The 24046-nt window shown below is 39.4% G+C and overlaps 2 protein-coding genes and 1 long non-coding RNA gene across 23 annotated transcripts in view, besides 1 other annotated feature; 1 reads left to right on the top strand and 2 right to left on the bottom strand.

Moving 5' to 3' along the window:
• SMCO2 (single-pass membrane protein with coiled-coil domains 2) overlaps window positions 1–18376 on the bottom strand; it is a 78870-nt gene extending 60494 nt beyond the window's left edge. Inside the window, exon 1 of one of the 2 annotated variants that reach the window (XM_047428776.1) lies at window positions 15375–18376. In XM_047428776.1, the coding sequence (XP_047284732.1) occupies window positions 15375–15425 (51 nt within the window). In that variant the 5' untranslated portion in view covers window positions 15426–18376. The remainder of the gene's footprint in view (window positions 1–15374) is intronic. The other variant, XM_047428775.1, reaches the window with a different exon arrangement.
• The window catches only part of BMAL2-AS1 (BMAL2 antisense RNA 1), a 56846-nt gene that overhangs the window by 4943 nt on the left and 27857 nt on the right, over window positions 1–24046 (top strand). The gene's annotated exons all lie outside the window — the stretch shown is intronic.
• Window positions 4879–5444: an enhancer, noted in NCBI's record as "OCT4-NANOG-H3K27ac hESC enhancer chr12:27589181-27589746 (GRCh37/hg19 assembly coordinates)". NCBI's record gives its function as "activates a minimal SCP1, AML or CMV promoter by ChIP-STARR-seq in primed H9 embryonic stem cells {active_cell/tissue: H9 hESC(primed)}" and the evidence as "EXISTENCE:reporter gene assay evidence [ECO:0000049][PMID:30033119]".
• Window positions 16406–24046, bottom strand: part of BMAL2 (basic helix-loop-helix ARNT like 2) — a 92451-nt gene continuing 84810 nt past the window's right edge. For 19 of the 20 annotated variants that reach the window (NM_001394524.1, XM_011520768.3, NM_001394525.1 and 16 more), the window contains 2 exons: window positions 23496–23604; window positions 16406–21296 (listed from right to left, as the gene is read on the bottom strand). In NM_001394524.1, coding sequence (NP_001381453.1) covers window positions 21160–21296; window positions 23496–23604 — 246 coding nt within the window. In that variant the 3' untranslated portion in view covers window positions 16406–21159. The remainder of the gene's footprint in view (window positions 21297–23495; window positions 23605–24046) is intronic. The other variant, NM_001248005.3, reaches the window with a different exon arrangement.

Here is a 24046-nt window from a genome sequence, read left to right as displayed (position 1 = left end):
TTTCCTTGTTGATTTTCTGTCTGGATGATCTGTCTATTACTGTGAATGAGGTGTTAAAGCCCGCACTATAATGGTACTGCAGTCTCTCTCTCCCTATTAATGTTTACTTTATATTTTTGGGAGCTCTGGTGTTAGGTGCATAGATGTTTATAATTTTTATATCCTCTTCCTGAATTGACCCCTTTATCATTATATAGTGACCATCCTTATCTTTTTTATAGTCTTTGATTTGTAGTCTATTTTATCTGATATAAGTATAGTTAGTCATGCTTGTTTTTGGTTTCCAGTTGCATGGAATAGCTTTCTCAACCCTATCACTTTCGGTCTACGTGTATTTTTATAGGCGAAGTGGGCAACTTGAAGGCAGCATGTAGTTAGATATTACTTATTTATCAATTCAGCTCCTCTATGCCTTCTTTATTATTATTTTTTTGAGATAGAGTCTTACTCTGTTGCCCAGGCTGGAGTGCAGTGGCACGACCATGGCTCACTGCAGCCTTGACCTCCTGGGCTCAGGCGATTCTCCAATCTCAGCCTCCCAAGTAGCTGGGACTACAGGCGTGTGCCACCGTGCCCAGCTAATTTTTATATTTTTTTTGTGGAGACATGTTTTGCCATGTTGCCCAGGCTGGTCTCGAACTCCTGAGCTCAAGTGATCTGCCCACCTCAGCCTCCCAAAGTACTGGGATTATAGGCATGAGCCACCATCCCCAGCCACTCTATGCCTTTTAATTAGAGAATTGAGACAATTTACATTCAGTGTTAGTATTGATAAGTAAGGACTTACTACTGTCATTTTGTTGCTTGTTTTCTGTGTTTTGAGACTCCTCTCTCGCTTTGTGGTTAAGTGATTATCTCTAGTAGTATATTTTAAATTGTTGCTTTTTATTTTTAGTGAAGCTACTATAGGTTTTTATGCTGTGGTTACCTTGAGGCTTACAAAAAACATTTTATAGATATAAAAGTTATTTTAAAGAGATAACAACTTATCCTAGATCACAAATAAAAGACTAGAAACAAAGGCCAAAAAAAAAAAAAAAAAACCCACAGAAAATTCCACACTTTAACTCCACCACCCCCAGCACACATTTTGACTTTTAGTTGCCTCAATTTATTTTAATATTGCCTGTCTCTTAACAGGTTGCTCTACCTATTGTTGTTTTTGTTAGATTTATCTTTTAGGCTTCATTCTAGAGTTATAAGTGGACTGCACACCACAAGTACAGTCATAGAGTATTCCGGGTTTGTCTGCGTATTTAATTTGCCAGTGGAGGTTATACCTTGAATAGTTTTCCTTTGCACGTTAGTGTTTTTTTTCTTTCAGATTGAAGAACTACCGTTAGCTTTTCTTGCACAACAGAACTGGTGTTGGTGAATTCTCTCAGCTTTTGTTTTTCTCTAAAAGATTTTATCACTCCTTCAAATGTGAATGACAATTTTGAGAATACAATATTATTGAGTGACAGGTTTTTATTTTTCTTTTAGCACTTTGAAAATGTTTTTCTATTCCCTCCTGGCCCCTGTGGTTTCTGTTGAGAGGTCTGTGGCCAGATGAACTGGAGCTTTTTAATATATTATTTGCTTCTTATCTCTCACTGCTTTTAGGATCTTCACTTTGTCTTTAGCCTTTGGGAATTTGACCATTAAATGCCTTGGGGTAGTTTTATTTGGGTTGAATCTGTTCGGTGTTCTAAGACTTTCCTCTACCTGCACATTTATATCTTTCTCAAGTTTAGGGAAGCTTTTTATCATTATTTCTTTGAACAAGCTTTCTACCTTTTGCTGTTCCTCAGTTTCCTCTTAAACACTAATAATTCTTAGATTTGGTCTTTTGAAGTTTTTTTCTATATCTTGTAGGTGGTCTTTGTTCCTTGTTCTTCTTTTTCTTTTTTCTTCTCTATGTATTTTCAAATGCCAGTCTTCAAGCTCACTGATTCTTTCCTCTGCTTGGTTCATTTTGCTGTTGAGAGCCTCTAGAGTTTTTCAGCTCAGCAAATGTATTTCTCAGTTCCAAGATTTCTGTTTCAGTTTTAAAAAATCATTTCAGTGTCTTTGTTAGATTTCCCTGATAAATTTCTGAATTGTTTTTCTGTGTTATCTTGGAGATCGCTGAGTTTCCTTAAAACTGCTGTTTTGAATTCTTGGTTGGGGAGCTCACAAATTGCCGTCTTGTTAGGGTCAGTCACTGGATTTTTGCTTTGTCTTTTTGGCGAGGTGATGGTTTCCCATTTGCTTTTGTTTCTTGTGAGTATATGTCTACGTCTTTGCATTGAAGGATTAGTTATTCAAGTCACTGCCTCCTTTTCAATTCTAGGTGACCTTAAGCTAAGGTTCAGCTTGCCTATAATAAATGGTTGAAGCACTGCCTGTCCCAAATGGGGAAGGTCCCAAAGGGATTATCCCAGCAGTGTGGGAATGCTGGCTAGGGTTCGTGCCCAGGGGTCCTGGGGAACATACCTCCTAACAGCCACTTTTATCTGGTGTCTCCTTTGGCCAAGTTACAGAGCAGAGTTTCTGGGCTGAAGATGGTAGCCCTGCCTCCCTAATTGTCTCTGCCTATCCTTAGGGATATCTCTCCCATGAAACAGTCCTAATGCTACTTGTGGGTTAAGGCAAGGACAGTTCTCCTGCCAGAAAAACCAAAAAGGTGAGGAAGCTTATTAACCACCTCAATTTCACTTTTCCAGTGCAGAAACCGTAAGTTGGATGGGGATTTTCCATGTGGTTCATGTCTTGCAGAATGGGGTGGAAGGGGTATTGCAGGTGCAGAAGTCTGGTTCTCCTACCACTGTCTAAGAGTTCTTCCATTTCTCTGTGGCCCCAGGAACTGTCTCATCCTCATACTTGAGCTCTGGTTTGTTGCTGGTGAAGATCTCAGTCCTATATATTTGTTTGTTTGTTTTTTTGTGGGGGAAATGGTGGGTGGGTGGGTGGGGGGAGAAGCCAGCTTGCTTCTGTGTGGCCATTTTGGAACTGGAAACTCCAATCTCCTGTATTTGCTAAACTGGCAACTCTAACATGTAAAGGATTGATACAGATAGATGAATGTTTGTTGAATGAATGACTAATGTAGTTGATCAGATGTATAGAGTAAGAAGGAGAGATGAGTGAATGATGTCTTCCAGGTTCCTGGTTTGGAAAATGGGCAAATATCGGTACCCTTCAGAAAAATAAGGACAATAGAGGAAAAGCAGGTTAGGGAAGAAAGGCAAAGTGATGAATTGCACTTTGGACAGGTTGAGGTTAAGTTCTCCCTGGAACATATTAACAGATATGACCAGTAGGCTGTCGGCTGCATTGCTCTGGAGCTAAGGAGAAGATCAGGATGGAATCATAGGTTTGAGAGTTATCATCAATTAATGGTAGTAAAGCTATAGGAGTGGATGAAACCACAGAAAATAAAGCAAGTAGAAAGCAGCCCTAGGATGAAGCCTAAAGGAACTCTGACATTTGAATGGCCAGCGGGTTAAAGGAAAACCAGGAGTGAGATATCACAGAAGCTGAGGGAGGAAGATTCAAGAAAGGGAAGAAGTGGTCTGCAGTGACTAACATTCCAGAGAAATAAATGTTAAAGAACACCAAGAGGTCAGTGGTGACCTTGAAGAGAAGCATTTCAGTGGAGGAGGTGAGACAAGAAGTGAATTGGAGAAGTGAAAGCAGGAAGCCCGGGAGTGTAGGCAAGTCTTATAAAAACCCAACTGTGAAGAGGAGGGTGGTCACTGGAGAAAGACATGGGGCCTAAGGATGATTGTGTTTGTGATCAGAGTAAACAGAGCAGGTTTAAATGCACAAGGGAAGGATTTAGAAAAGAGGGAGATGTTGAAGATACAAAAGAGGGAGACAGACTGAGGTGTTGAGGGGAAATCAGATACAGAGCCCAGGTGAAGGGGTCTTTGGACAAAAGGAGCTCTCTTCCATATTGACAGGAAGTAGGCTGGAGCTGCGCATGCAGGTGAACTGGTAGTTTAGGAAAAGGAAACTGATTTATGGCAGGAGAGCTCTGTGCATAGATTCTTTCCCCTGAAGAACCCCCTTCCCTTTGTGAACTGTTCATGCCAGTTGTACTTATAATATTTAACAATGTGAGCTGAAGGAATCAATTTAAAATAAAATCGAGTGAAATAAAATCAAACTAAATGAAATCTACGCTTTGGGAAAATCCTTTAAAAGGTGAGTTGCTACTTTTTTGGGTCAAAGTAGGTGTGGGCAAAATCAACCATAAAAGTTTGGATTAAAAAAAAAACCCAAAATTGCTTTCACCTGTATTGCTTTACCTAAAAAGTCCAAACTGGACATCGTCAATGATAAATCATTGCCATTATTTTTGCAGAACTCCAATTTATGGACCTTCTCCAAAAGGTGTTGGCTCTAACTCAGATGATTAACAAATGGATGCCCACTATGTTTTGTTTTTGTTTTTTGAGACAAGGTCTTTCTCTGTCACCCAGGCTGGAGTACGGTAGCACCATCATAGCTCACTGTAGCCTCGAACTCCTGGGCTCAAGTGATCCTCCCGCCTCAGCCTCCCAAAGTGCTGGAATTACAGGTGTGAGATAATGCACCCAGCCCCACTTATGTTTTAAGTTAAAATAAAATGTCTACATCATATATATGTTTCTTTTTTGGTGATTTCCTGCTTTAATAAGCCTTTTCAGCTAATGTAACAATGTGTAGTCCCAACCACATCCCATAAGGGGGTTTCTGCTGTACTTTGATGGTGAACATGGCGAAGTGATATGCATAGTCATCTTTTGTAAGGGCAATGTGGTGACATGGAAAGTTTGAAGAGAGTGAAAAAGTCTGAAATTGCTGTTAATAGGGAATGGGCAAGACAACTGGCTTCATAAATATATGTAGCCTTACTGTCATGCCCTATGTATCTATATCTAGCCCATTACCAGGAGGGGCACTATCTTACCACCTTACTCTTAGCTAGCTCACCAGGAACATACCTGGGGGTCAGTGGACGGAGCTTTCCTTTACTTGATCCATCTGGGTCAAGTGGATGGAGTGGATGGAGCATTCCTTTACTTGATCCATCTCATTACTTTTAAATTCATACAGAGTCAACCTTAGCTAGGCACCCGGAAGCTCATTATTTCCCTGACCTCCCTCAGTCTTTCCTTTCTTTTGTTTTCTTCTTTTCGTTTCTTCCTCTTTTCTTTTCTACCCCTCTCCTCTTCTGCTAGACCCATCCTGTGAATGCCCCCACCATGGTCAGGGCTGGAGGAAGGATTGTTCCTGGCTGCATTCTGGCAGGACAAATGTGGATCCATCTGGTTGGTCACTCCTTAGTTTTCCATATGGTTCCCACCCATCCCCTACACTTTCCATTCTCCAAAGTGCAGTATTAATAAGGTAAAACCAAACCAAAACAAAACAGACAAAGCAACCTTTGTGTTGTTAATACTGATGAGCTCCCCACCCAAGGTGAGTGCTGCAGACTGAATGTTTGTGTTTCCTGATTCATATGTTGAAATCCTAACCCCCACTGTGATGGTATTAGGAGGTGGGACATTTGGGAGGTGATTAGGTCATGAGGGTGGAGCCCTTGTGAATGGGATTAGTGCCTTCATAAAAGGGGTCTCAGAGAGCAACCTTTCTCCTTTTCTATCATGTGAGGACACAGCAGGAAGACAGTTGTCTATGAACCAGGAAGTGGAACCTTCATCAGATACTGAATCTGAGAGTATCTTGATTTTAGATGTCTCAGCCTCCAGACTGTGTGAAATAAATGTTTGTTGTTTAAGCAATCTAGTCTATGGTATTTTTGTTATAGCAGCCCAAATGGACTAAGATAGTAGGAATGGAAAAGATAGAAGTGGGTGAAGAGAAACAAGAACCCCACGCTGCCTCACTGAGGCTCATTGGTGGGAGACCATGAATTTATACAGAACTGTGACTTTCTCCAGAGATGCCTGGTATCTCTAGTGTAGAAATGGGGTCACCAGAGAGCTGAACTGACCCAGAGGTGGGAATTTTTGGAGTCACTAGAGCCAAAGATAATGGGGCCAGGAGGTTGAGAACATTGTCAGAGTAAGTGAAGTGATAACCTTGGACCAGTCTGGGTAGGGAAAGAAGAAGAGTGAGAGAGAGAAAGAGAGAGAGAGACAGAGACAGAGAGGAGAGAGATGGGGGATGGGGGGGAGAGAGAGAGAGAGAGAGAGGTAACAAAGCAAAATAGGAATCAGATGAGTGGTGGCATCAATGAAGATAAAGAACAAACAGGAGAATGTTTTTTTCCTGCCCCTTTTGACAGAAAGAAAGGAAAACTACCTCTTTAGAGTTTAGAGTAGGGGTTCTTCATTATGGGGGCGGGGATTTTGCACCCCACCCTCCCAGAGGACATTCAGCCCTGTCTGCAGACATTTTTGGTTGTCACAATTGCCGGGGGGGGGGGGGGGGGGGGTTCTGCTGCCATCTAGTGGATAGAGGCCAGGGATGCAGCTAAACAGCCAACAGTGCACCGGACAGGCTCCCACAGCAAAGAATTATACAGGATGTATAATTAAAGAATTATACAAATGTCAGTAGTGCCAAGGTAGAGAAACCCTGCTCTAGAAAATGTGTCACTGTCATCTGAAAACTGAAGTCATCTGAAACCCTTCAAAATGGGAACATTACCCAGGAGTATAAAACGTGCCTGGCTAGGGAACCCCAGCTTCTCAGCACAGTTTACCCTGCTATGAAAGAGAATGTGAAGGTCTCCAAGAGGACAGGGAGATTTCAGGAGCCCCTTGGAAGGTGGTGGTTGTGAGTGGAACCTTCCATGGCCTGGTAGCAGGTGCCGCCTCGTGTAGCAGACAGCTTCCTACAGACACTCCCTCAGTCACTGCAGCTGCCCATGGTGTGGGACACCCCTTCCATCTCTAGAGCAAACATGCCCTCTTATTTGACTTACAGTACCCCCTTCCCTTAAAATGTCCTCTATTTATATAAGTTTGGACTATTTCCATAGCTGGGGAATGGCTACCTTATTTTCTCCTTAAGCTGCCACAGATATTACTAGTCAACTTTGCAGTATTTTTTTCTTCTTGTTTTTTTAAATAAACTAATTGTCTAAATCCAGTGATAAAAAAGAATGGATCTTTTTCAGTTGGTTTGTTTTCCTGAAACATATCTTCTTTTTGTGTTCTAAAGATACATAGACAACTTCTGTACTCAATTTTGCTACAGAAGGAGGGTCATTGTTTGACAGCTCATTAGATGTTATATTTGGAAAGCTGTCTCTGTATTTTGCTCTTCAAATGTGGGGAAATTCTATTATTACTAAGATCACAAAGAATAAGAAGCCTCAACAAGTCTAGATAAAATGGACCAAGCTAATACCAGACACAAAGCAAGCAATAGTTCTCTAACAGTAGCGTGTCTCGGAATCACGTAGAGGGCCTATTACATGTTTCTGGGCCCCATATTCAGAGTTTCTGATTCAGTGGGCTCAGGTGGGGCGCAGGAATTTGCATTCCTGACAAGCTCCCAGGTGACACTAATGTTATCAGTCTCAGGACCACATATTAGGAACCACTGTAGATTCCAACATTTATTTTTGATGGATTCTGTTTTGGCGCTAGGTTATGTTTCAGAAAGCAGCTCTTTATTTTTCAGAACCACATAGCATGTTACTCTCTAATGGTTGTTCTTGTGGCCACACATCTGAGGTTGGAAAACATTAAGCTTTAAGATGTTTTGCACAGGGAGGTGGGAGTTGCAGTGAGCTGAGATGGCACCACCGCACTCCAGCCTGGGTGACAGAGCCAGACCATGTCTCCAAAAAATGTTTTGCAATCTTGCACGTTCAGGGCAACTGTTGGTATGATTTTTAATAACTTTGCTTATTTTCTATGACCTCTTGAGAAGAAATATTTTAATAATAAATGCTCACCAAAACTGTATCTATGTAAACACATAATCTAGAGTTAAAGGAAGAACGGCCTCTAGGCAGTAGGCCTAAGCAGCCATGATTCCTCATTTGTGTAAAACACCAGCTAGATATCCAATTAATAATGACTTCATTCCTTTTGTGGCTTAGTTTTTCAATATTTTTAATAATTATAGTTTAAAATAATCACTAAAAGTTGGGTAGAGTTTTAGAATTTCCTTTCTCCTGACACTTTTGCAATGTTCATTCCTGGTTGAGAATATGATATATGTGTGTGTGTGTGTGTGTGTGTGTGTGTGTGTGTGTATACACATCTGCATCTGCCCATGGTGTGGGACATCCCATCTCTAGAGCAGATGCCCTCTTATTTGACTTAGAGGTAGCCCCCTCCCTTAAGATGTCCTCTTTCTATTTATATAAGTTTGGATTGTTTCCATAGCTGAGGAATGACTACATTGTTTTCTCCTTAAGCTGCCACAGATAATATTAGTCAACTTTGCAGCTGTACTCTTATGCTGTTAATTTTTCCTTCTTGTTTTGTTAGCGACCAATCCTCTAAATCTAGTGATAAAAGAGAATGGATCTTTTTTAGCTGCTTTGTATTCCTGAAAATGCTAGCATACACACACACACACGTCTATATGTGTGTACGTGTATGTTTATTTTTTTCCTGTTTTTTAACCTTTAAAAATTATACATTTTTGTGGAGACCAAATTCCACAAGATAGTTACGATGTAGAATAAAGTTGACTAACATTTTCCAGAGAACTGACACCAATGTTATAAATGGCCATTCTGTAGCAAATACTGGAGAACTGCTTCAATAATACTATTTCATACAAATCTAATTTCATAGTATTTTAATAGAAACAATATAACAAAAATGGTTCTGTGGACAAATCAATATAAAAAATGAGGATTAATCAGTGAAAGAATTTGTCTGGGAGGATTTCTCAATGAGTTTAATATGCTTGTAATCATTGTGAATCTGCAGCTATGACTGTTTTTCAACGTGACATGTTTGGAGAATTCTGCTTTAATGAATATGCTTTTGGAAGTGTTTTTGAAGACATAATGACAAATAGATTTCATGTCATGTGTCACCTCAGTTGATCATGAATGGTTGCCTGGAGCTCTGTGTTGAAAAGGGTTCTGAAGCCCACTTTGGGTTCAACAAGAAAAACGTGATATTTCTTTAGCTGCACCTGCTGGAGATGTAGAGAGGATATGGTACAAATGCTATCCCTCTTTTAAATATGAACAGGGATGGTTCTTTTTTTCTGTCTCCCATTTCTTCTTATATAGTTGTATAAATTAGCCTCTCATATTTACAATGCTGAACTGAGTAATGATTTACAAATACAATTTTCATACTACATATTTCAAGAAATTTCCTAAGGTTTTCAAAATGTATTTCATGGCATTTGTTAAAAGTTTCTAATGTATTTTTTTTCCAAAATAAGTACGACACGTGCTTCAGCAACTGAGATGGAAATAGACACCAAAAGCACAAGCAACAAAAGCAAAAATAGACAAGTAGGACTGCATCAAACTTAAAAGCTTCTGCACATCAAAGGAAACAATAAGTGGAGTGAAAAAACAACCTATGGAATGTGAGAAAATATTTGCAAATCATGTATCTGATAGGGTGTTAACATCCAGAATATATTTTTAAAAACTCCTACAACTCAACAAAAAAACCAAATAACTTGATTTAAAAATGCGCAGAGGACAGAAGATATACAAATGGCCAACAAACATCGAAAAGACACCCAACAACACTAATCATTAGAGAAATGCAAATCAAAACCACAATGAGATATCACTGCACACCCATTAGGATGGCTACTATCCAATAAACAGAATAATAGGAGTATAACAAGAGTTATAATAAGAGTTGGCAAGGATGTGGAGAAACTGGAACCCTTATGCACTGGTGATTGCAATGTAAAATGGTACAACCACTACGGAAAACAGTTTGGAGATTTCTTACCTTAAAAAAAAGAAAAAGAAAATGGAATTATCATATGATCCAGCAATCCCACTTCTGGGTATATGTCCAAAGAATTGAAAGTAGGATCTTGAAGAGATATTTGCACACCCATGCTCCTGGCAGCATTATTCATAATAGCTAAGAGGTAGAAGTAACCTAAATGTACTTCAATGGACGGATGGATTTTTTTAAAATGTGATCTACAATGGAATATTATGCAGCCTCAAAAAAGAAGGAAATTCTGTCACATGGTACAACATGGAAGAACATTGAGGCTATGATGCTAAGAGAAATCCAGTCACAAAAAGACAAATACTTCATGTATTTGTATTTAAAGTATTCGATCTTTAGAAACAAAGCAGAACAGTGGTTGCCAGTGGCTGAGGAGAAGAGGAAATGGTATGGAGTTTCAGTTTTGCAAGATGAAAACATTCTAGAGATCTGTTGCAAAACAACATGACTACAGTTAACCACTAAATGTGTGGTTCAGTAGTGTTAAGGTAGTAAATTGAGGCCAGGTGCAGTAGCTCATGCCTGTAATCCGAGCACTTTGGGAAGTCGGATCACTTGAGATCAAGAGTTCAAGACCAGCCTGGCCAACATGGCGAAAACCCATCTCTACTAAAAATTTAAAAAATTAGCCAGGCATGATGGTGCACACCTGTAATCCCAGCTACTAGGGAGGCTGAGGCAGGAGAATGGCTTGAACCCAGGAGGCGGAGGTTGCAGTAAGCTGAGATCGCACCACTGCACTCCAGTCTGGGGCAACAGAGCTGTCTTAAAAAAAAAAAAGATAGTAAATTTCATGTGTTTTTTCATAACTAAATATCTTTTGTAAAAGAAATTGCTGTGCTTTGAGTTCAGGGGGTTAGGGTCCCCGAGAGCACACAATAAATCAAAGGTTTATCAAAATCACAGTTGAGAGCATGCATCGAGCTGCTCGGGTCTGGATTCTAACTCCACTGCTTATGAGCGGTGGGGTAACCTTGTTAAGTTACTTAACTCTTAAGCCCCAGTTTGCTTGTGTGTAAAATGGGGGATAATACCAGCATTTATCTTCAGGATTCTTAGGAGGCTTACATTAATACGTGTAATAGGCTTAGGAACTGTGCCAGCCACGGTAAGTATTTAATAAAGGTTCGATTTTATTCTTATTCCCTCAAAATTTCAACAACGCAAGAGAATTCAGATTGTAGCATTGGGCAGATGGTTCCAAGAATAAACATGTTGGAATTAGATTTCTGTATATAACAAAAGTTTAAAGGAATGCTAACACAGCCAAACTGTTTCTGAAAGTTTGGTTCTAACACAGTGGAACCTCCTGGGTTCGAGCAATTCTCCTGCCTCATTGATGGGTAGTCTGATAAATTAAAAACTTTAAAAGGAAATGTTAAAGTCAGAAAAAGCCACTATTCCCTCTGTTTTCTTATATTTTATAAACAAAATATATAGAACTATATTTTATAGTTTGAACACTTTTCAGAAAATAAGAGAAGAAAAAGTGATATACTATCACATAATGGAAAGATCAGTATCAAACTCTACTGTGTTTATTAACTTAAACAGCTTGGTACTGGTGAAAGAACAGACAATCACATTAATTCAACTCCCTGCCCACCACCACCATTACTTCATTTCAAAACGAGTACCAGAATATACAAGAACTTAATCGATGGTAATGGCAACATTTCGAATCAGTGGGAAAAGAAAGGACTAGTCATTGAAGAGTTGTGGAGAAAGGGCATAATATTTTGGAAAGAAAAATAGACTCCTGTATCTTATTAGAGGCCAAAATAAACTTCAGCTAGATCAAAGACTTTAGTATAAACTACGAAACCACAGGACACCTAGAAGGAAACTGAGGTGTGTGTTTATTTGATCTTGGGGTGGAGAAGTTTTCCCTCCTAAGCATAACAACAAAGAAATTAGGCAAGAAATATCAACATATTTAACCACATAAAATTAACTCTGGAAAGAATGCTGAATGCAAACTGTTTTTTATGGCAATTGGGCAATTTTGATTTGGCAATTGCACTCCAAGAAATTCATTCTAAACAACAGGAGAGAGGTGTACAGCATGTGTGTGTCTAGAAGGGATGTTAGCTGTCATATTACCCACAATAGCAAAACTTTCCGACATCCTAAATGCTTCATAATAAAGAAATATTTAAATGAATTGTTGACTTCCTATTCTATACTCATTCTGGGCCATTCATGAAGTGACAATAAAAGTATACTTAGAAACATAACTATAAATATGATAATCAGCTAAAAAAAGGTATAAGTGGTTGCTCTGGAGAACAAGAATTAGGGCTAAGGTGGGGACTATTTTTTTTTTTTTGTAATTTTATGACTTCAAATGCTATCTGACTTTTAACCAATATACGCATTACTTTGTACAATTTTATTATTCTTTTTTGTATTAAACAGTAGGATTCTAACTTTAAAAAAGTCATTAGAATATAAAGGCCTTGAAAAAAGAGAAAGACTACTCAAGTGTTGACTATGGTTTTTCACTAGGTGGTAAAATTTTTTATTAGGTGATTTTTATTTTCTTCTTAGCACCTTTATATAATCCTGAATTTTCCAAAAATGAATGTAAAGTTCTTTTACAAACAGAAAAAAAATTTAAAAAGCAATCTGCTACTAATACGTTACTACAAAGAAATAGTGTCTTTTTACTCCATAAGTTTTAATTATTTTACATATAATCTATGTGTCCATTTTCTCCCTCAAGAATAGATATTTCAGACACTACAACTGTGTTTTGCTTGACCTTTGCTAAATCAAACTGAACATTCATGGGCTGCCAAATAATTTAATCATCAGCTAATTATGTGATATTCGTCTACATGTCCCTTCTGGTAGATGGGAAGCCTTTTGGGTGATTGCTCAGTCAACAAAGTATTGAATAAAATTTTCAAGGGCTCTAGTAAGTTTTAAGTTTATGTAATCTAGGCATCCCATTTTAGTGTAGTTTTGTAAAAAAAAAAAAAAAAAAGTACATTTATTTCATGTATTTACCCCCAAGGTAAAATGTAACAGGTTTCCTCCTGGACAGGAGTAAATGTGAGAAGCATTGCCTTAAAGTCAGCCAGGAGCCAGGAGTGTCTAAGAAACTGTCATTCCAAGGCCAGAGGCACACAGCTGGACAAGAATTTAAGACAATTCTTTACTGACTCCCTCAACACACAATGCCTTAAGCAATGGACAGAGTCCTCCACAGTGACTAGTGGCTGAGTATTTTAAAAAAAAAAAAAAGGTGGCCAAGATTAACATTAAAAAGGTGTGACACAGCTTTCTCTGCCTTGCCTCCCCTCCTCAACAAAAAACAACCAAAACAGCCAAACAAAAAGATTGAGGCTCACATACTCAAAGTGCCTTTGCAAAAATTATGACAGTGAGAAAAATCTGACATAGGAAAATTATGACAGTGATAGAAATCTGACCTAACCAGCTCCATCTTGCTTCTAACTTCCAAGGTGTCCTTGTTCATTCCTGGGTGTAGGTTGAATTAACTTTGGGAGGGATTTAGTTTATAGTTTAACTTTGAAACAAAGATGCTAACAGCCCCTCCCTGAAACAAAACCACTCCTTGCCTGGGGACCAGACTGCCTTTGTAAAACTAACAAATTATTTACAAGATCAGAAATTATGGCTCAGGAGTATTCCCAACCTCCCCAATTGCTCCTGTGGATAACATCACTATTGTAAAACCTAACATTGGTGTTCAGAGATGTTTCTGATGAACCAACTGGTGTCACCCACAAGGGTAATCCGGTTCAACTAGTTCTGCAATCCCATCCAGGAACAGAAGACAGCAAGAAAAACCAGCTTCAACCCCATATGATTTCATCCTTAACCCGACCAATCAGCATTCCCCATTCCCTACCCTTCTGCCTGCCGAAGTATCTTTAACAAACTCTCACCTTCAAACTCTGGGGATGGCTGATTTGAGTAACAATAAAACTCCAGTCTCCCATTTACTTGGCTCTGCGTTTATGAAACTCTTTATTGCAATTTCCCCATCTTGATAAATCGGTTCTATCTGGACAGCAGGCAAGAAGAGCCCGCTGTGTGGTTGCAGTACCTACACCAATTCTAGGGAGTCAACCATCATGAATTACAAGAGGTTCTCTTGTCCCTTCTGCACATCCCTTCCCCTCTCTGGCTCCAGGCTGTCTGGCTGTTGGCTATTTCTGACGTCTTTTCCCCTTCAAGGGTGCCTTTAAAGTTCATTTTAATGTATTTAATCAGAATTAAAATGTTATAAACGGAAGGCAAAATAAGCAGTAGGGTAGGCAAAATAAGTAGGTAGGCCTCCTGAGGCCCTCTGTTCCCTACTCTACTTTCCTCAGAAGAGCCCTAGAATAAGAGGTCTGTGGATACGTCCATTTGTTGTTTGTGAATGGCAAGATCAGCGGTTCTCAAAGTGTGGTCCCCAGGCCAGATGCCTCAGCATCACATGACAACTTACTGGAAATGCAAATTCCCAAGCTCCAAGTCAGACCAACTGAATCAGAAATTATGGGCGTGAGGAGACCCATAATCTGTGTTTTAACAAGTCCTCCATGTAATTCTGATGCAAATAAATTTGAAAACCACTGGGCTGGATAAATAGGAAAAAACTGCCAGAGTATAACATATTTTGATGACTCTTCACAAGCAAAGTTAAAGCCTGACCTTCCCATACTCTATTAGCACTTTGCACATCCCTTTAAAGTAGCAGCTATCACATTCTATAGTTACTGCTTTCCACTGTCTTTCTACCAAACTGTAGTCTCTTAAGAGCAGGGACTGTGGCGTTTTCAATTGTCTCTAAGAGCATAGCACAGGATAAATAAGTGCTTACTTATTTGAAACAAATTGTCATTGAAACAAATGATGTCATTTATTAGGAACCATTTCAACTTTCTTTTAAAATGCCTTATAGATGTCCACCTTAGCAAACAAAATTGTTTACCTCTTTGTGCTGTAGATATACGTCTTCCCAAACACCCTACCTCAGTTGGGTTCTCTAGGTACTTAACGCTTTCCCATTGGTTATGAATTTCTACTGTTATTTGGGTTAAACTTTTGCAAGGCTTAAATTACTGTTGTACTACTTATATATTTGTTTGCTATATAGTCTCAGGAATTTTTTACTAACTTAATGATGAAGCTTCTCTATAACACTAATTTCCAACATTTATTATCATACTGTAGAGCTTATAAATTAACATATAATGATCATTGTTAAAATTACTGTCAGACAATGTGTAAGCACTTTACATAAGCTAATTTAATCCTCACTAAAGCTCTGCAAGGGTATTTACAAATGAAGTCTACTTTACGAATGAAGAAACTGAGGCTCAAAAGCTTCAGTGTGCCGCTCATCTCAGCTTTCTCTCCCATCCTCCATACTCACATATCCAACTATCTGCTAGACATCACCTGAACACAATTTGTCTAGAAGTGATGCATCTTCTACCCCAAAGTTGTCTCTCCTCATGTAACTCTTACCTCTTGAACAGCACTGCAATCCAGACCCCTGGGGCCAGAAACTTGAGTCATTGTTCACTGCTTTTGCTTCAACATTTCCCATATGCAATTGGTCCTCAAGTTCTTGCCATCCTACTTCTGTAATACAAATCTCTTAAATCTGTATCCTCTTCACCTTCACAGCCTCTTGTGCTGGCAGTGGGAGACCTGGGGAAGAGGAGAGTCCAGTGTGTTGGAAGATCCCCATGGGAGATCCCCAGATTCCAACAGGGCTGCCTCGCCAAACTTCAACCCAAGGTTGAGCATGTATCACAGCCTGGCTAATCTGTATATTCCAGGCTGTTGACCTGGAAAGAACCTACTGCTTATTTTGCCTTCCCTTCCTAACATTTTAATTCTGATTAAATAAATTAAAATAAACTTTAAAGGCATCCTTGAAGGGGAAAAGATGTCAGATGCCAACAGCTAGACAGCCTGGGGCCTGAGGGAGGACAGGGTTATCTGCAGAAGGGACAATAGAACCTTATAATTCATGATGGTTGACTCTCTAGAATTAGTGTAGATACTGCAACCACACAACAGAAAGTCCAGGTAAACCAAGTTGATCCAGAGGCCCAGTCAATGCATATGTGCATGTGAATTACTAGGAAATAGAGAGGCTCTCTTTCCACTGAAATTGTCAGGTATAAGAACAATATACGCTTGGAACTTCTGAGTGTCATTATGCGGAGAGGGTCCACCGGAAGATAAAACCAGCTCATAGGAAAGCAAAGCTGAGGGATGGAATGAGGAAGAGGCAGAAAGGGAGGAGGAGAGAGTCAGAGGGACAGATAAGGCTGATGACGTTGGAGTCTGACGTGAGCACAAGGAAACCTTTACTGGTTAAACCACTGAGATTTTGGAGTTGTTACAGCAGTTAGTATACCCTGGGGAACATACCCAGAAATATATATAGTAACAGAGTTCAATGTACCCCTCTGCCCAGTGGTTTGAGGGCACTGGATGGTTTCCTTAATCTATGTTTCCACATTAGAAAGTAGTTAAGGGAGCACTTTTTGGAGGAAGTTTATTAAATTAAAAAAAAAAACTACAAATGAGTAATTATAAAATATAATTTCACTCTTTTCATTATTTACCACAAAAATTTAAAAATACCAATATACAGACGAGCACAAGTGAACTGGAAAAGAGCTAAAAATTGTATAAAAGACAAATCTAAACTCAAGAATATATGAGAAGTGACATACACCATACACTCTCAAGTGAGTTCAGAAAGCATGTTCCGTGCTGGGCAGGTTTTCTTTCCAGGTCAGTTTTTATTGGCACTACACCTGGAAAGCTCTCTAAGCCAAAGTTCTTATGTGTCAGGATCTTCCTAGACCTCCCTTGGAAAGCATTTCTCATAAAACAACTCACACCAGACAGGCTGACTTATTGTAGGCACAAAAATCATAAATGCCTCTCATAGGCCCCATGGAGCTTGGAAAAAAAAGATCTGCTAATGAAAGCATTACAAAAACAGAAAAGTGGCACCTAGTGGCCACTTAGCAGCTTTTCTTTATGGCTTCTAGCTAATCATAGATGTCGGCCTGTCTGCCCGTAACATTGTGCTGGGCAAGTATGAGTCTCCAATTCCAGGGCTCAGTGATGACCCACCTGAGGGGGAGATACCTCTTGGCAGCATGATCTGAAACTGGACACTACTAAACATGGTCTGGGAACTAAATATTGGCTATTTCTTGTACCTGTGCCCCAGATTTTACGGAGATCCCTCAAAGACTATGACAACAAAGACATCCTTTTCTGTCGTGACACTGTAAATAAACACTTTCTTTTAAATTCCATTTATTTACTAAAAGTCTCTATTCTGTACTTTCCTGTTTGTCTTTGTTTCACAATAGATTTCTAAATTTAGTGATGACCATATAACTCATTTCACTTGATTCCAAGTATCATCCTGTAATAACACATCTGATATTTTAAAGTTTATTATTTTCAAAAGTTTAAATTTGGTAACATGGATAGAGACTTGTTATTTGATCTTACAGATTCAAGGATCAATAAATAATTGTTCTTCAAACATGGTATTTAAGGAAAAATATCCTTATGGTATAAACTTTGGTCTACTTCAATAATAACCACTTAATATAATGTTCTAGAGCAGCGCTGTCCAATAGAAATATAATCTGAGCCACATGTATAATTTTATTTTCTTCTAGCCACATTAAAAAAGTAAAAAGATACAAGTAGAACTAATTTTAATGTTTTAATTCAGTATATCCAAAATATCATTTGAACATGTAATTAATATAAAATTATTAATGTGATATTTTACATTCTTTTGGTAATACTAGTCTTCAAAATCTGGTATGTATCTTACATTGATAGCACATCTCACTTTGTACTAGCCACATTGCAAGTGCTCAGTAGCCACATGTGGCTAGTGGCTACTGCACTGGACAGCACAGTTCTAGGTTCCACCCTAACACCCAAGTCCTGTGGATTAGAATCCCAGAATCAGAGCTGGAAGTAAACATAGAGATCAAACCTCCTTTTAAAAATGAGGACGCTGAGGCACAGAGTTTAAATGGCTTGCATGAGGTCATACAGCTAAATTCAGCCTCAACAGGGTCTTCTGATTCCAGGCACTCTTCCCACTCCACTACATTACTGTAGTGGTAATTCTTAGGGTTAAAAAAAGTGTAGAGTAGGCCGGGCGCAGTGGCTCATGCCTGTAATCCCAGCACTTTGGGAGGCCGAAGTGGGCGGATCACGAGGTCAGGAGATCGAGACCATCCTGGCTAACATGGTGAAACCCCGTCTCTACTGAAAATACAAAGCAAAATTAGCCAGGTGTGGTGGCGGGCGCCTGTGGTCCCAGCTGCTCTGGAGGCTGAGGCAGAATGGCGTGAACCCAGGAGGCAGAGATGGCAGTGAGCCAAGATCGCGCCACTGCACTCCAGCCTGGGCGATAGAGCGAGACTCCATCTCAAAAAAAAAAAAAAAAAAAAAAAGAAAAGAAAAGAAAAGTCTAGAGTACTGTTTTTATGATACTTTCGTGCAATTTGTAGATATATTCTTTCTCACGAAAATTCAAAAAATTGACTCGCAGTAGAAAAAAGGAACATAGTGTATACCATAAAAATATGTCACTTCTAACAGCAAAAATCAAATTTAGTTGAAGAAAACTAAAACATTTTGAAGGAAACACAAACCTTAGGAGAGCTACGGTATCATACAATGCATGGATTAGATTTTGAGTCCAGGACAAAAGGATCTACAGAAAAATATTAGAGCGAACTAATAAAGGATCAAACCATGCACAGAGTATTCAACTGGCTATCTGCCCACTGGTCTATGGAATTGAACAGCCCCTCCTCTTGCAAAGAGAAAAAACTGCCACTGTGAGAGGCAGCACTGGTCTCCCTCTAGAAACTCTGCCTCTCAAATCCTGGCATCACGAGGGCAAGTCTGCCCCCATCTGCTTTTGAGGCCATCCAGCTATGATGGCCTACCCTGCCACCCCTGGCTTAGGCAGACTCTTTGGAAGCCAAGTCTAACCTGCAATGGTTCAGTCCCCTAAAAAGTGATATTGGTAGGCAGGCCCCTCTGCTCAATTTAGAGAACACAGGGGATCTTTCATACTTCTTTAGACTTAACTATAACACTTAGGCTGCTGCACACCAATTCTCCCCATCTTGTAGGATTTCTTTGGCTCATTCTAAACCTGATGTCTCTCAGGTCCTCAAGTGTCGGACCAGGAATGGTGCCAACCCTCCAACATTGCTGGGACACTATCAGTTCAAGAGGACAGTGTGCCAATACATCCTTGCCCACGAAGCCCCTGCACATTTCACACTTGAAGGAAACATTTGCTTTTGGTTATTGTCTGTTGGTATGTTTGTCATTAACATGTCTGACAGAAGTTCTAATCTATCACCTACAGCTAAAGAAATAGCATGCAGGGTCAAAATAATGCTTTGTTTTGGCGAGGGGCTCTGAGGGAAATTTTCTGGAAAGATGTAGCACCATATAGAACAGGAAACTGGATTTGAAGCCCACATTGAAGTCTGAGGGCTGCCCCATGAGTTCCCAGCCTATCTGACTTTCATTTGCGAGGCACGAGAGAGAAAATATGGGAGCATACTTGGCAAGCTATGAAGAGCTACTGAAGCAGAAAGTGTTATAAAGTATGATCCCCGAGAAGGTAGACATGCAGTATTTTAAATAATCTTAATTCTTATACTCAATTTGAGCCACCTCTGGATTAATTACTGTTAAAAATGCTCTCCAAATTTTAAATTATAACTAGAAAATTGGTTTTTAAATTATTTCTCATTGCCTCATAATTTTAAACATGTACTTGTCATTTTGTTTTATTACCTTTGGTTACAGGCAATAACTGTAATTGCCTAATTACTTAGAAAGCTACAACTAGTTCCTGGGTCAGTTAGTTAATCATTTAATCTGTGAGACCAATGTTTTCCCAAATGTGTATAAAGAAACTGGTTTATATACATTAAACATTTAAAACTCTATGAATTTAATGTGTGACTGAATTTAATGTGTGACTTTACACAAGACATTTAATCTGCCCGGGCCTACTTTTTTCCTTTAGGACAAATCTATCCCTAAGTATGTTTCCAATGTCAAAAACCTAATCTATCTATAATAGAGATCTTCAGTGATTATATTAAATCTTTTTTTTTACTTTTTTTGAGATGAAGTCTCACTCTGTTGCCCAGACTGGAGTGCAGTGGTGCGATCTCGGCTCACTGCAACCTCTGCCTCCCAGGTTCAAGCAATCCTCTCGCCTCAGCCTCCCAAGCAGTTGGGATTACAGGTGTGTGCCATTAGGTCATGAGGCCTTTGCGCTCATGAATGGACTGTCATTATCGTGGGAGTTGGTTAGTTACCTCAAGAGTGAGTGCCTGGGTAATTTTTTTTGTATTTTTAGTAGAAACGGGGTTTCACCATATTGGCCAGGCTGGTCTTGAACTCCTGACCTCAAGTGATCTGCCCGTCTCAGCCTCCCAAAGTACTGGGATTACAGGCGTGAGCCACCACGTCTGGCCTATTAAGAGTAAATCTTATATGCAGAGGTTAATCCCCAAGATCTAGGGCCCAAGATCCTTCCTTTTCTGTAAGGAAAGCTGAAACTCTTTTGACTTTCTGAGTTTTAAGCAAGAAATCATCTCACTTAAAATTCATCTTAAAGTGCTCAACTGAGCATAAATATCCCAGCTCTGTGCTTGCCTAAGTCTCCAAAGATCAAATACAGTATTCAATGTGATTATGACTATAAATTGCACTGTCCCTTTAAATGTTCAAGTACTCACTGTTTTCTTAAAGTGTGTAAGCCCTATCCTCAATTAAGGAAATTCGCAAGGAATGGAAAATGTTCCAAATTATACAAACCTACTATTATAAATGAATCTTAGACACAAAGGAAAACATCAATATATTACATTACCTCAACTAAAAAAAACTGCATCAAAAATAAAACAAAGCCAAAACAATATGTAAGTAGTATTCTTGGTTAGAAATATTTTAGCAAAAATATGGCAACTAGTGGATTATAAGCCATTTCACTGAATAAAGGAGTCTATAATAAACTTGGTTCTCTTGGGAGGAAAACGTATTTCCCCACATCCCTGTGACAGGAAGATGCAAATCTATAAAAAGTGGTAGAACATTAATAAAAGATACAAACAATATCAATACAGTACTTAAGAATAGTTGAGACAGTTTTTCGTAAATGAAATGCTTTAAAATGTTTCTCATTTTTGGAGTTAAAAATCAAAGGCTAGAGGGTCCACTGGATGTCACTGAAGTCCCCAGGGTCTCCCAGGCCCCCCTCTGCTTCTAAGTAATTCATAAATGCAGCCATGGCTGTGTCATCATTGTCACATAGGGCATCGAAATCCAACTGTGCACCATCACCTATGAATTAAAATACAGGCCTGTGTAAGTAAAGGTGATCAGTAAAGTCATACATTTCACACATTTTGAGGTTAAAAAATGATTGTGATAAAAAATGGCAAAGCAAGGCTAGAAAACCATAAAATGTATTTTTGAAGGCAAAGTATATATCTTAAGCTGCAGATGGCTGATGTATTTTTAAATGGGTTACCTAGTTTTATAACAATCTTCTGTCAGATAAATTGCACCTAATTCATCTGCTACAGAGAAGTAAGCTAGTCTATGAGTTTTCTAATAGGAAATTACACTGCTAAAGGGTACAGACTCTCAGAGAGCTGGAAGGAAGCTAGGAAATTTAGTGTATGTTTGTGTGTGTGTGTGTGTGTGTGTGTGTGTGCACGCGCAAACCCTGGAAGGAGAAAATTTAATCTGCTTATGAAAAAACCCTATCTGTTTAATACTGAAATGAGAAGCCTGAGACAGAAGCATCTTCTAAAGATTTGGAATTTTCTTATAAAAGGGAGATAAATCAGATTTTTATTGAAAAAGGAAGTAAGTAGGAACCATGGAGATGATAATTAATTTAGAGATAAAAGGTTCTAGAAATTAAGGGTTAAAATGCAGATAAAGACTAACCAAAGGTTTGTATATATGTGTCAAAGTACAGTGGAACTTCAGATAATAAATATATGGCTCTATGTGTGTTTAAAGTGGATATCCAAATTCCTTCAAGTCCTTTGCTTCTCTTTAGTGTATGCTTTAGCAGAGCAATGTCAGTCATGGAGGATATGAAACTATATACAATAGTTTGAATTTGTCCACTAAAATTCATGTGTTGGAAACTTAATCCCCAATGCAATGGTGTTGAGAAGTGAGGCCTGATACAAGGTAATTAGGTCATGAGGCCTTTGTGCTCATGAATGGACTGTCATTATCATGGGAGTTGGTTAGTTATCTCAAGAGGGAGTTTGTGATAAAAGTGAGTTTTCCCACATCTTGCTTTCTCGCTCTTACCCTCTCTTGCCCTTCTGCCTTCCGCCATGGGAAGATGAAGCATGAAGGTCCTCATAAGATGCCTGCACTATACTCTTGGACTTCCCAGTCCCCAGAACTGTGAGCCAAATAATTTCTGTTTATTACAAATTACTCCATCTGTGGTATTCTGTTATAGCAGCATAAAACAGACTAAAATACCATGTCACTCAATTTACTTGATCTGGACTTTGCATAAACATTGTTAAAATGAATGATTACATCTTAAACTTTTTTGACTTCTATCCTTTATGAATTCTCGGTAATTCTTGAGAATGGACCTTTTTTCCTAGATAGAAATACCTTGGTTTTAATTAAATTGTGTATTTACCAATACTCATAGCTGATTCCATTGATAACTGAATTCTTAATGACAGAACCATTAAGTAACATCCTTTTTTTTTTTTAGATGGAGTCTTGTTCTGCTGCCCATGCTGGAGTGCAGCAGTACGACATTGGCTCACTGCAACCTCCACTTCCCAGGTTCAAGCGATTTTCCTGTCTCAGCCTCCCGAGTAGCTGGGATTATAGGTGCCTGCCACTACGCCCAGCTAATTTTTTGTATTTTCAGTACAGATAGGGTTTCACCATGTTGGCAAGGCTGGTCTCGAACTCCTGACCTCATGATTCGCCTGCCTTGGCCTCCCAAAGTGCTGGGATTACAGGAATGAGCCACCATGCCCAGCCAATGGTAGCATCCATTTTAAGATTGAGTACAATTATTGTTATTTAGAATTTCGAACAAAAAAAATATTTATTTATTTATTTACTTTTTTTTTTCAGACAAGGTCTCACTCTGTCACCCAGGCTGGAGTGCAGTGGTACAATTACAGCTCACTGCAGCCTTGAACTCCTGGGCTCAAGCAATCCTCCTGCCTTAGCCTCCTAAGTAGCTAAGACTATAGACATGAGCCATCATGCCTAGCTAATTAAAACAATTTTTTTTTCGTAGGGATGGGTTATTGCTATGTGTGCCAGGCTGGTTTGAACTTCTAGCCTCAAGCAATCCTCCTGCCTTGGCCTCCCAAAGTGCTGGGATTACAGGTGTGAGCCAATGTGCTCAACTGAAAAAAACCTTAGTTTTAAAACTATCTGCTTCTCTACAAATTTCCTGTGCCTGAAAACATAGTGATTAAGAGGGGGGTTTTGATAAACGAAAATGGTCAGCAGTTCCCAAAGAAAACTTACTGAGGAGTGGCTCATGGCTGTGGACAGCAACAGTACTCTGGTTTTGCCTGGTAGCCTCTAGCTCCCCCATTTCAGAAGGACTTGGTGGAAACAACTCCTTATTTGACATCTGAAAAGACAGCCAGAGTAACAAACAGTGAGGTTCCTACTAGAATAAGGACACTCTTTATTTATTTATTTTTACTTTTTATTTTTTATTTTTTTGAGATGGAGGCTCGCTGTGTTGCCCAGGCTGGAGTGCAGCGGCATGATCTCGGTTCATTGCAACCTCCACCTCCTGGGTTCAGGCAATTCTCTTGCCTCAGCCTCCCAAGTAGCTGGGATTACAGGTGTGTGCCACCACGCCCGGCTAATTTTTTGTATTTTTAGTAGAGATGGGGTTTCACCGTGTTAGCCAGGATGGTCTCGATCTCCTGACCTCATGATCTGCCCGCCTCGGCCTCCCAAAGTGTTGGGATTACAGGTGTGAGCCACTGCGCCTGGCCAAGATAAATACTTTTTAGCAGTTATCAGACATGGGCCTGCCACCAATGCTACAACTGCCACCATCA

Source organism: Homo sapiens, chromosome 12 (assembly GCF_000001405.40).
Source record: "Homo sapiens chromosome 12, GRCh38.p14 Primary Assembly".
Taxonomy (NCBI): Eukaryota; Metazoa; Chordata; class Mammalia; order Primates; family Hominidae; genus Homo; species Homo sapiens.
Note: the sequence above shows the minus strand (reverse complement) of the source record. Positions and strands in the feature narration are given on the sequence as shown.